The 13,814-nt window shown below is 34.5% G+C and overlaps 1 protein-coding gene across 10 annotated transcripts in view; it reads left to right on the forward strand.

The window, feature by feature from the left end:
* The window catches only part of UCHL3 (ubiquitin C-terminal hydrolase L3), a 56,519-nt gene that overhangs the window by 41,221 nt on the left and 1,484 nt on the right, over positions 1-13,814 (forward strand). For 6 of the 10 annotated variants that reach the window (XM_011535214.3, NM_001270952.2, XM_011535212.2 and 3 more), the window contains one exon: positions 4,193-4,268. In XM_011535214.3, coding sequence (XP_011533516.1) covers positions 4,193-4,268 — 76 coding nt within the window. Of the gene's footprint in view, positions 1-4,192; positions 4,269-5,217; positions 7,172-10,689; positions 11,081-13,814 lie in introns of those variants that run through there. The other 4 variants (XM_017020726.2, XM_047430583.1, XM_017020725.2 and 1 more) reach the window with 3 other exon arrangements.

Consider the following 13,814-nt stretch of genomic DNA (forward strand, 5'->3'; position numbering starts at 1 on the left):
AGATCTTTTCCAAGTAGGAAATGAAGATTTTCTCCTTGTGTATTGATGTAGGCTTCCCACAAATTTATGATTTCTCTTTCATAGGCTAATGATATCTGCAAACTATTAAAAATACATTTTTCTTATAATCTTGCTAATTATCTTAAATGTTGAGACTGATGATGCAATTCTAGTAATTATCATAATTGAGATACACTACAGAATTAAGCAACTACAGCTCTTGTCTTTCTGATGTTTTGGACTATTAAAGGCAATGACTGTGGTTTGGCAGAGCCTCCCTAGAAATGGAATATCTTAAAGCTTTGGTGTGTGCCATACATTTATAAGAAATTTGACATTTCTATAAATTATGATGGCTTTTGAAGCCAGAGGAGGAAGTCTGATTACACGTACATTTAATGCTTAAGAACAATTAAAAGTCAATGGCAAGCATTCTTTCCTTCCCCTTATTTACCCTTCTAGTGTTATACTCAAACTGTGAAGTGGTATCTTTCCTTAAATATTTGCTTCCACCAAATATCAGTATGGTCATCAAATACTTTTCCATTTCTGCTGAGTATCAACAAACTCACATCTCTTTCTATTTCATTATCCTCATTGGGTCACGACATTCTTCATTTTTATTCGTTCATCCATTTGATATTTGTTGCTTCTCTACTGTGCCATATGCCATTTGACACAGTGAGAGATACAAGGTGAACTAAATGACCAGGGTAGAATCCTAAAGGTGTAAATTCTGACATGAGCACAATTGATCCAATTCTAATGTGAATTATTTCTTTTCTACTTAAAAATGTTCCAAATATAAATGAACATATAAAATTTGGCATTTCCTGTTTTATATGCTTTTATATAATGTTGATCTTGGCTCCATATTAGTTCCATTGCCTTATAGCTTTAAATGTTTTTGTAGCTTAGTAGTAAAGAACATGGATTCTAGAAGCACACTGCTCGGGTTTGAATCCAGATTCTACCACTTACTAGCTATATGACCTACAGCGTGTTACTTAATGCTTCTGTGCCTCAGTTTTCTCAAGAGTAAGATGGGTATAATTATATTACGTACCTTATTGGGTTTATACAGGTTGAGTATCTCTTATCCAAAATGCTTGGGATGAGAAGTGTTTTGGATTTTGGTTGGATTATTTATATTAGACTTACCTGGTTGAGTATCTCAAGCCAGAACATTTAAAATCCACAATGCTGCAGTTAGCATTTCCTTTGAACATCCTGTTGGTGCTCAAAAAGTTTGAGGTTTTGGAGCATTTGAGATTTCAGATTTTTGGATTTGGGATGCTCAACCAGTATGATGATTAATTATTTGATACATATAAAACATTTAGAACAGTGCCTGGTGGTATGTATTAAGTGCTATACAATTATACATTAAATTTAGTGTATATTTTAATGTGACATTTATATTTAGTATTTAATTTATATCTAATTGATTTGTTATCACTTTTTAATTCTTTGAGTTAACTAAGAAGTGTTGCATTCTAAATTAGGGATATATATATCAAAACTAATTGATTGGAAGTCAATGGTACTATTTATACTAAAAGAGTAGGATCCTTATCAGTAGATAGAGACATACAAGAATAGTCATACTACATCTATGAAGTGTCAATATCAGGCAGCAGCTTCAAAGCCAAAATGGTGTTTGGATGTAAAGTGGAATTTTAATTTTTCCTTCATATATATATATATATATATATATATATATATATATATATATATATATATATGAAGGAAAAAAGATCCCATCTATAGCCTTTTTTTTTTTTTTGCCCTTTGTGTAGTTATTTCTTGGTCATTTTTTGAAACAAGACTTGCTGAAATTTGCTTTTTATTTATTTTTCTTGTTTTTAGTGGAATAACTTTTAAGCAATTAAATAATTACAGATTTTTAGACTCTGAGACTAATTGAAGCTGACTGAAGGAAAGGGCTTATCACAGGTTCTGAGGTTTTGTGGAAGGCTTAGAAGTTTTGAGCTTTGCTTATCTTTTATAATAGTTTGAAGGCTTTTCATACCCTTTTTAGAATTTTGTATTTTTAGTATGCACTTTTAGATTAAAGGTGCAACGATGCACAATTTTGAGTCACTACATTTGGTAATTGCTTACATTTGCAATAATGTAGTATTGTTATTGGAGTAATACATAAGGTTTATATAACACTTAACAGTTTACAAAGTACTTTCATGCAGCTCATTTAAACCTCGAGGTGGATAAGAAACCCAAGGCTTACAGGGATTGGGTCCATATTCAGTTCTCTGACTCCAGTTGTACTACTTTTACCTCTAGCATGGTTGTATTTACTGGCACAATATAAAAAATAGAAGCTATAAGATGTGTAATTCTTAAGAAGAGATGGTGTTAAGGTAACTAATAATTTATGAAAGCATAAAGTTTAAAAGATTTAGAGTATTTCATATCCTGTTGGAAAATTGTCTTAAAATGAGTAAAAGGAAGACTCTTTCCTAGGTGAATGAATAATTCATTATAGCCTTTTTTATTATAGAATTAAAGTTACAGTTTATATAATTGCCTAGGTTTAGCCTTAAAAAATTGGACTCTCTTCTGATTATTGATAAATGGAGATATTAGACTGAGGTGGCCAGTAATATTTTTTGATTCTCTGACCAGGAAAGTAAGGGAACTCATTATCACTGTCTTCACATATTTAAAGAAATATGTTCAGGAGGGATTAGACTTTTTTCTAAGATGATGGAAAATACAAGGAGACATATTTAGCCTCAGTATGAGGGAAAATTCTAACAAAACTGTCTAACAATGGAATGGACTGCCTCAAAACCTAGCGGAGGAGCCTCTGGCATTAGAGGGGCTACCACAGGATGGAGAAGTGCAGTACTGGAGCAACAATAAAACTAGATAACTCTGATTGCTAACACCTGTGGAATTCTGTAGTTCTAGAGTGAAGCTAGAAGAGCTGGCTTGCCACATCAGTTTATGTTGAATTTCTTCCGTTCATAATTTGAGGGAAATAACCTCTGAAGAATAATGTGAGATTAGGTGAAACACTATATATAAATGTTTTAGAAACATTCTGTATATCCAAGATAGTAATGTTTATTCTGTACCTTTCAATATCTGCATCAGAAAACTTCATATTACAACTACTTGAAAATATATACTTACTTGAGGATGAAAAGAATATAATTTTTTATTTAAGATACTATCTGTTACTGAAAGGATATTAAGTAATCTGAGATATAATTTGATTTATGCCATTTGAAAACTTTTCCTTTAAAATTTGTGCTCTATTTGCATTTTTAACAGTGATTGTATTTCATTTCAAACCATTTAGATTTGATGTATAGCTAACTCATATTAATATTAGCTGTATAGTTACTACATATCATAGGAAGTGCCAGTTAATCAATGTATCGACTTTGCATATGTTATTTGAATGCCTTAGAAATGTAGATATTGCTCATGCAAATTGATTGGTAAGCTAAAGAAATGTAGATCTAGTCTTAATTTCAAATTGTTTGTTAAGCATCAAAGCAAGAGAAAAATCACAGGCTACTGTGAATTGTACTTTAATTTGTTCTTATCTTTTTTCCCTTCCTTTTAATCGCCTAGGCTATTTTCCTGCATTATTCATTTTTAAACTTTTAAAATCCAGAGTGGGTTAAAATGCTTATTTTACTCAAAGACTGTTTACACTGCACTGTTGAAACATCAGATTATCAAGTTCAAGTCTTTAAGGGAACATCTCTTTTGACATCTTAAAATTTAACTCGAAAAGAGTTTCTTTAAGCTGTTAGGTGTAAAAATATTTTAACTTTCTTATTTCAAATTTTAAAAACTCATACATATCAGTTCATGTATTCATTTCATTCAGTAAGTATGCAATGTGCATATACTGTATACCAGGCATTGTGCTAAGTGCTGAGGCTTCTAAGGTGAACACAATTTTTGGTCTTTAGATAGTTGAGATTAAGAAAGTTGTGCTTTTAGTCACTGTTTTCTTTGCCGATAACTGAGCACATTGTCACAAACACAGGCATGGTCACTCTTTGTCCATTATACCAAACATTAAGCCTTGAATTATATTGGATAAATGTTCTCTTATATAATTTGATGTTATTTGTATGTGTTTATGTATACATGACTGATTTGTTTGACTACTAATGTATATAATACCTATTTTTCCCTCCTATTCCAGGCACCAAGTATAGATGAGAAAGTAGATCTTCATTTTATTGCATTAGTTCATGTAGATGGGCATCTCTATGAATTAGGTAAGAACTATTTTAATTTGTCCTGGGGAGAGAAATGGTAAATGGGAAAGTCTCTACTTATGATAAACAGGACTATTGATATTTATTGTGTTTACTTAAATTAACTGGTTGCCTATAAAATTGATTTGACATAGCGACAGTTTTCCTTTTAAGACAGTTTACTAGAAAAATGTTATTTTATGTTTAAGCAACTTATAATTCAAAAATGTTTGCATACCATCTTCGCATTTTAGCAAAGCAAGAAAGTAAAAACCATTACAGGGAACTGCTTCAAATCTCTCTGGCAATCATTACAAAATTATTGAGTGGGTTATCATCAATATCTGGCTGAACAACCTTTAGTTTTAAAAGATAGTGTAATATTTGGGAGGCTGAGGCAGGCGGATAACCTGAGCTCAGGAGTTCAAGATCAGCCTGACCAACATGGAGAAACCCCATCTCTACTAAAAATGCAAAATTAGCCCGGCGTGGTGGCACATGCCTGTAATCCCAGCTACTTGGGAGGCTGAGGCAGGAGAATCGCTTGAACACAGGAGGTGGAGGTTTCAGTGAGCCGAGATCGTGCCATGGTACTCCAGCCGGGGCAACAGGAGTGATACTCCATCTCAAAAAAAAAAAAAAAAAAAAAAAAAAAAAAGAGCGTAATAGTTGTAATGATTGGGCTGAGTGTCACTAGTTTTCAGGGTTTTGTAATGTTCCTGTGATTTTTTAAAGACTTTACAGGAGCCTTTGTTTTCTTCAGGCATATGTCAGAGTACCCATGATTAGTTACTTGGTATTTTGGCTTATACCTGTACTTTTTTTTTTTTTAAGTTTACCTTTCAGTGGACTATTTCATGGCATGTTGGAGGAGATCACATAATTTACTCAGACAGAATAAACTTCTTGTAATTTTTTCATAATTGGTATACAATACTTATTATGACTTCTTCTTATTCTTTTCCATAAGACCTTCTCGAGTTTTAAAAAAGCCAAATAAACAACAAAAAAGAGAAGTTCTTTTCAGTAATTCTAGATACCGTGAGTTTTGGTTCTATTACCTCTCATTTGCTGTCTATATATTACCTTGTCACATTAATTTTAAGTTGTATAAAGATAGAAGATTTTGAAAGAACACAGATTGTGACTGTAAATGTGATCCATAAAATTTAGGTGGATTTTGTGTTTGGAATATTAGCAACAGATCGCATACTTTATTAAAAAGAAATGGCCCTATCAAAGGGGACAAGGAAAAGAAAGAACATAGTATTTATAAAAATGTGCAACCCTGAGCGTTGTCTACAATACTAGAGTGATTTGAGGAGTAATAAAACTTAAATGAGAAGAAGTCATTATTTTGGTAGTATATAATGGACCTCCAGGACAGTTTTGAAGATGTGCCTTGCTAATTGAGTCTACAAAATCTGCAGAGATAAAGTATAACAGTGATTGGGGACTTCAGATGTCTGGGTGGTTGCTGGAAGCAGATTTTCTACTCTGAATTGTGAATAGTAAATAATAACTAGTGGAAGAGGAAATAAAGAGTGCTGGGACTTAACAGACACATTCTGTTAACTTCAAGAAAGTAGATTTGGCCAGAGCAAACATATGTAGGATTCATAACCAGAGACTATAAATCTGATTGTGACTTTCAGAATGAGAGACTTACAGAGCAAACAATAACATCTAAAATATATTTAAACCAAAAGAAAACCTCTCTAATGATCTCAATGGGAAGGAAAGAGTTATCTTAAAAAAAAACTCGGTTTTACTAGTTAGAGAGCTGTCTTGGCTCAGAGGCTAAAAGGGCAGTTAGAAGGAAGGACATATATCAAGGGTAAGCTACATATGAAGAATGATGCTCTTTTGGAGCATGCCAAGATCAACACAAAAGGATTTTAAAATTGGTTTGAAGTAAGAACTTCATAAAACAAAGGCAGAACTACTGAGGTCTTGTTTGGTTTAGATATTCTTTATCAAGAAGAATGATCTGATGGAAAATTAGAAGCCTACTGGAAATTAGATTTTTTAAATGAGTTTAAATAATTTCAGAGTGGTAAAGAATAGCCATAATCTTTGAGATGTCAGAGCAATAATAGGTACATTACAAAGATGGACAGTTGCTGATTCATTGCAAAGGAAACTGGCAGTAACTCTGATGCAGATCTAATAAATTCAAAAGGAATATTGAGCAAGAAGAGTATTGAGTTAGTGAGTAGAAAATAATGATTAAGAGATTAGCACTGGGCACAGTGGTGTGTTCCTGTAGTCCCACTTTCTGTAGTGGGAAGCTGAAGCACGATTGCCTGAGCCCAGGAGTTTGAGGCTACAGTGTGCTATGATTGCACCTGTGAACAGCCACTACACTTCTGCCTGGGTGACATGGCAAGACGTCATCTCTTAAAAAAAAAAGAAAAGAAGACACTATATAACTTTTAAGAAAGAAGTCATTTCAAAGTTCAATTTGCTCTCTGTGGGTTCTTGCATTGGTAGATTCAACCAACTGTGGATTGAAAGTATTAGAAAATAAATACCAATACAACAATAAAAAACAAATTTTGAAAACAACATAACAACTATTTACATAGCATTTATATTGTATTATGTATGATAAGTAATCTAGAGATGATTTAAAGTATTTGGAATTGTGTAGGTTATATGCAAATACTATACCATTTAGGTAGAGTATGTCAAGGGGCTTGAACATCTCAAAATTTTGGTATGAGATGGGGCCGGTGTCCTGGAACCAGTCCCCCACAGATATGGAGAGATGACTGTAACTTTATTTTTAAAAATAAGGCTGTATGATTGTAGACATTGTGCAAGTTAATTTCTATAGGATATCTATATTTAACAGAGAATGGTGGTAGTCTTTAATGTATTAATTCCCTACTCTAATAAATTGTAAGGTTAACCAATGAAAAGGACTGAGTTATTTCTCTTTTGTTATCACCCTCCCTTTTCCTTGGGGCCTCATATAGTTTCTGGCATATGTAAAGGGGAAGAAGTACATATTTTAAAATAGATAAAATGACTCCTTGTGGATATAGAGTAGAGCATTGGGATTTAGAGGTGGATTTGGAACTGATTGAACAATCAGATTAAAAAACCATTAACTAATAAATTATTGTCTACCTGAAGTAACAGGAATACTTTGAAGCAGTTTTAGAAATTTTATTTTGAAGTAACTTAAGATGTTTGTAGAAGTTACAGAAATAGTATACAGAGCTCCCATACATCCTCCCACAGATTACCCAGATTCAATTCATATTTCTGAGCCATTTGAAAATAAGTTGAAGACATGATGCCCCATTATCTTTAAAACTTCGGTGTGTATTTTCTCAAAACAAGTGGATACTCTCCTACATAACTATAGTATGAATATCAAAATCAGGAAATTATTATAACATTGATCCAGTATTATCTGATCCACAGACCCCATTACAGTTTTCCTGATTATCACAATAATGTCCTCTATTCAGGAGCCAATCCAGGATTATGTGTTGAATTTGTCATGTTTCTTTGTCTTCTTTAATCTGGAACAGTACCTCAGAATGCTTTCTTGTCTTTCATGACTGTAACATTTATTTTAAGAGTATAGGGCCAGTTACTTTGAGATTATCCTCCAATTTAGGCCATCTGATTTATCCTCATGATTTATGCATTTTTGGCAGGAATAACTGCAGAAATAATGCTGCGTTCTTCTCAGTGCATCATATCGAGAGGCACATGATGTCAATTTGCCCCATTACTGGTGATGTTTAGTGACTTTTAGGTAGTTTCTTCACAATAAAGTTAAGAAGTATGTCATGCAGTTGCTCATCAAGCTTTTATCCTCCAGATTTTGCATCCATTGATTATTCTTGACTGGATTATCATTATGACTATTGCCAAATGGCAATTAAAAAAAAATTCCCCCAACATTAGAAGCTTTCCTTTTCCTCTCATTTATTCATTTATAATCAGAATGGACTCATGGATTCCTACTTTACTTGAATGATTATAATCCATGATATCATGTATTTTTATGCTCAAATTACTGCAGACTTGGCCTTTGAAAGGAACCCCTTCAAACTGCAGCCTTGATGTCCTGGGCTCCAGCAATCCCCTTGTCACAGCCTCCTGAGTAGCTGGGACTGTAGGCCTGTGCCACCATGCCTGGCTATTTTTTTTTTTTTTTTTTGTAAATTGGGGTCTAGCTATGTTGCCCAGGCTGGTCTTGAACTCCTGGGCTCAATTGATCCTCCTGCTTTAGCCTTCCAAAGTGCTGGGATTACAGGCATGAGGCACTGCACACAGGCCATAGTTTTAATTTTTAAGAGTTCTTCTGTTCTCTGAGTTTGCATAGCATTTGAAAATATGGCATTCTGTTCTTTTATGTATGTAGAATTTCCTCATTTTAAGGATAGTAATAATACAGGAATACCTCATTTGACTGTACTTTACATATATTTCATTTTTTACAAATTGAAGGTTTATGGCAATCTTGCTTTGAGCAAGCTTATTGGCACCATTTTTTCCAACAGCATGTGCTCACTTTGTGTTTCTGTGTCACGCTTTGGTAATTCTCCCAACATTTCAAACGTTTTATTATTATATCTGTTATGGTATCTGTGATCAGTGATCTTTGATATTACTACCGTAATTGTTTTGGGATGCCACAAACTATACCCATATATGCTGGCAAACTTAATTGATTTCATGTATGTGTTCTGACTGCTCCATTAACCAGCCATTTCCCCATCTCTTTTCCTCTCTTTGAACTTCTCTATTCCCTGAGACACAATAATATTGAAATGAGGCCAGATAATAACCCTACAAAGGCCTGTAAGCATTCAAGTCACACGTCTCTCACTTTAAGTCAAAAACTAGAAATGATTAAGCTTAGTGAGGAAGGCATATTGAAAGCCAGGATGGTCTGATAGCTAGGCCTCTTGTGCAAAACAATAAGCCAAGTTGTGAATGCAAAGGAAAAGTTCTTGAAGGAAATTAAAAGTGCTGCTCCAGTGAACACATGAATGACGAGAAAGCAAAACAGTATTATTGCTGATATGGAGAAAGTTTGAGTGGTCTGGATAGAAGATCAAACTAGCTACAACATTTTCTTAAGCCTAATCTGGAGCAAGGCCATACCTCTTTTCAGTTCTGTTAAGGCTGAGAGAGGTGAGGAAGCTACAGAAGAAAGGTCTGAAGCTAGCAGTTGGTTCATGAGGTTTAAGGAAAGAAGTCATCTCCATAACATAAAAGTGCATGGTGAAGCAGCATATGCTGATGGAGAAGCTGCAAGTTATCCAGAAGATCAAGCTCAGATCTTCCGTGAAGGTGGCTACGTAAACAACAGATTTTCCATGTAGATGACTAGCCTTCTCTTGGGAAGAAGATGCCATCTAGGACTTCTGTAGCTAGAGAGGAGATGTCAACACCTGCCTTCAAAGCTTCAAAGGACAGGCTGATTGTCTTGTTAATGCAGACGGTGACTTTCAGTTGAAGCCAATGATCATTTGATATTCAGAAAATTTTAGGGTCCTTAAGAATGATGCTAAATCTTCTCTGCCTATGTTCTATAAATGGAACAACAGAGCCGGGATGATAGTATATCTATTTATAGCCTGGATTACTGAATCTCTTAAGCCCTCTGTTGAGACGTACTGCTCAGAAAAAGATTCCTTTGAAAATATTACTGCTAATTGACAATGCACCTTGTAATCCAAGAAGTCCGATATAGATATATTTACAAAGAGATTAATATTTTCATTTCTGCTAACACAGCATCCATTCTGCAGCCCATGGATCAAGGAATCATTTAGACTTTCATTTCTTGTTATTTAAGAAATACAGTTTGTGAGACTATAGCTGCCACAGTGATTGCTTTGATGGATCTGAGAATAGTAAATTGGAAACTTCCTGGAAAGGATTCACCATTTTAGATGCCCTTAAGAACATTCATGATTTATGGGAAGAGCTCAAAGTATCAACATTAACATGAGTTTGGAATAAGTTGGTTCCAATCCTCATGGATGACTTTGAGGGGTTTAAGACTTCATTGGAGGAAGTAACTGCAGATATCATGAAAATAGCAAGAAAACTAGAATTAGAAGGGGAGCCTGAAGATGTGACTGAACTGCTGCAATCTCATGATAAAACTTGAACAAGTAAGGAGTTGCTTCTTAAAGATGAGCAAATAAACTGATTTCTTGAGATGGAATCTACTCCTAATAAAGAGGTCATGAACAGTGTTAAAATGACCACAAACCATAAAGGATTTAGAAGATTACATAAATGTAGTTGATAAAGCAGCAGCAGAATTTGAGAGGATTGACAACATTTTTGGAAGAAGTTCTCCTGTGGGTAAAGTGCTGTCAAACAGCATCACATGCTACAGAGAAATCTTTCATAAAAGAAAGAGTCAAATGTGGCAAACTTCATTATTGTCTTATTTTAGGAAATTTCCACAGCCACCCCAATCTTCAGCAACCGCCGTCCTGATCAGTCAGGAGATATCAACATCAAAGCAAGCCCCTCCATCAGCAAAAAGATGGCAACTTGCTGAAGGCTGAGATGATCATTAGCATTTTTAGGAATAAAGTGTTTTTTAATTAAGGTATGTATATTGTTTTCTTAGACATAATGCTAATGTATACCTAATAGACTACAGAGTAATATAAACATAACTTTTATATGCACTAGGAAACAAAAAAATTTGTGACTCATTTTATTGTGATACTTGCTTCATTGTGGTATTCTGGAAGCTAACCCACAGTATCTCTCAGGCATGCCTGTACATTTTTTAGAAGTTTTAATTTCTGTATAGTCTCTCTTTTTTAAGCCTGTACATTTTTAAAAAGTTTTTATTTCTGTGGCTGGGTGTGGTAGCTCACGCCTGTAATCCCAGCACTTTGGGAGGCCGAGGTGGGTGGATCACAAGGTCAGGAGATCGAGACCATCCTGGCTAACATGGTGAAACCCCATCTCTACTAAAAATACAAAAAATTAGCTGGGTGTGGTGGTGGGTGCCTGTAGTCCCAGCTGCTCGGGAGGCTGAGGCAGGAGAATGGCGTGAACCCGGGAGGCAGAGCTTGCAGTGAGCTGAGATTGTGCCACTGTACTCTAGCCTGGGCGACAGAGCGAGACTCTGTCTCAAAAAAAACAAAAACAAAAACAAAACAAAAACAAAACCAGTAAAACAGTTTTTATTTCTGTATAGTCTCTGTTTTTTAAGCTCCATCATTCACGTCGTTGGCCATTGTTGGGTATTTGACAGTAGCTGATACTCAGTTATCTGCACCAAAAAGCATCTCGTGATGTTTGTCATGTCGCTTGTCTCTTGTACAACTCTGTTGTCACCTTTCTCTGGGGGCTTGTGATCACACTATGCAAAAAACAAGTTCTGAATGAATTGGTTAGTTACTACCAAAAAGTCAGGCCACTATTTTCTTCCCCGTCCAGCCTGGAAGTGGCACAGCCCGTTTGGACTGGGGTTTTTAGGTTACATGACCCATGTACAAGGTGCAGCTTTTTCCTGCCTCTTTTAGAAGGGGCCTGTAAGTGTGACAGTCTCTGAGCCTCATGGATTCATCTGCAGCGTATGCATTTACTGAAATTACACGCAAAGTTGTTGGCAAGTGACAGTTTTGTGGTAGTAGTGTTTGGAACAACAGCAAATTTTACATTTTATTGTTTTGGCAAAATTTTTCTGTGAAGGACCAAGTAGTAAATATTTTAGGTTTTGTGGGCTACATACTGTCTTTTAAAAACATAAAAACCAGTCTTAGCTTAAAGGAGGCATTAAAAATACACTGAGGGCTGGATTTGGCCCATGGATTAGAATAACAGTAAAAATCATAATTAATCTTTGTTCTATACTGCTATTATAAAAATAGACTGTACGGTTTTGACATTTCAGGATCAGTTGTTTAACAATCTTAGTCTATAATAATTGAAATTAATTATATGTTACTTTAAACAGCTGCATTCAAAGGAAAATTGCTCACTGCCATTTTTTGTTTTTATTTTATTATGTTATTATTTTATTTTTTTAGAGACAGAATCTCACTTTGTCACCCAGGCTGGAGTGCAGTGGCATGATCATAGCTTGCTGCGTCCTTGAACTCCTGGGCTCAAGTGATCCTCCTGCCTCAGCCTCCCAAACAGCTGGGACTACAGACTTGTGCCACTATACCTGGCTAATTTATTAATTCTTTGTAAAGGTGGGGTCTCACTGTATTGCCCAGGCTGGTGTTGAACTCCTGGCCTCAAGCAATCTTCTTAAATTACAGGTGTGAGCCACCACACCCAGCCATAACTGAGTTTATTAGCTCTTTAGTCTCATGAATGACACACACACAGAAATGATGGAAACCAGGAAAATACATATATTAAGCCAGGTGCTGTTGCATGTGCCTGCAGTCCCAGCTACTTGGGAAGCTGAGGCAGGAGGATTGCTTGAACGCAGGAGGTTAAGTTCAGCCTGGGGAATATAAGTGAGGCCCTGTCTCTAAATTAAATAGAAGAAAGAAAAATACAAAAGGAAAAAATATATATTAATTTATAATTTGGTTAGGGAGGGAACAGCCTACATTGTTTACTTATACTTTTGCCTTTATGTAAACATTAAAAAATAATACAAAATGGGGTGGCACATAATGAATGTGATAGTCATATAAACATAGAATAGTCTATTGAAGAATAAGCATTTACCACAAAAGGATATTTTAAGAAGACATTTTATGATATATTATTGAGAAATATACATTATAATTTAGAAAGATAGTATAAGTTCATAGAAATATGGATAATTAAGTGTTCATGTGTAATATAGTTACAGGAAAATATTTCCTAAAGGTTCTTAGAAACTTTAGGAATTATGTCCCAGGCATTGTAATTTAGGGATAAGTTTCTTTAGGATTTTGAATATTTATCTCAATGTTAGTCCAAAAATAGGAATCACAAATTCTGATGATATAATTTATAGAAATTAATATTACTTTTTATGGAGATGAATTTATGTGTTGATTTTCATTCATTTTTTTAAAAAAAATCTAACAACCAAGTCTATTACTAGATGCATATTCAGAAATTTTTATTATGGTTAGAAACCATGGAATCGTAGAAGGGGCTGTGTTTTATGGATTGAACTTAATGAAGAGCCACTTACAAGACATCTGAGATTATGGATTTGGATATATAATTGTCAGTTGACTTTGGGTTAGCATGAGTTTAAATAATTCTGGACTTCTTAAAAAATAATATTGAAAAAGTACTAGTTTATTTAAGTTGATTGTGAATTTGCTTATTTTGGTGGTCAGTAAAATAACCCTGGGTTATTTGGATTATTCCTCTATATTACTGCATTGATAGTACACAGTTAATAGTAGTATTGTATAAGCCATGACAGTGTAGCTCCCTTTCATTGTTTTAAACATGTCTGTCTTACTTGAGATCTTCCTATTTAAAGTGAAAAAAGAAATTTTTTTAATTTCCAAGGATAAAAGCTGGGGTGATAATTTTTAAAAAACTGACAATAATTTTGCGTATTATTTTCAGGAAACGAAAGCCAGCATTGTAATA

The sequence above is a fragment of the Homo sapiens genome, chromosome 13 (genome assembly GCF_000001405.40).
Source record: "Homo sapiens chromosome 13, GRCh38.p14 Primary Assembly".
Classification (NCBI taxonomy): domain Eukaryota; kingdom Metazoa; phylum Chordata; class Mammalia; order Primates; family Hominidae; genus Homo; species Homo sapiens.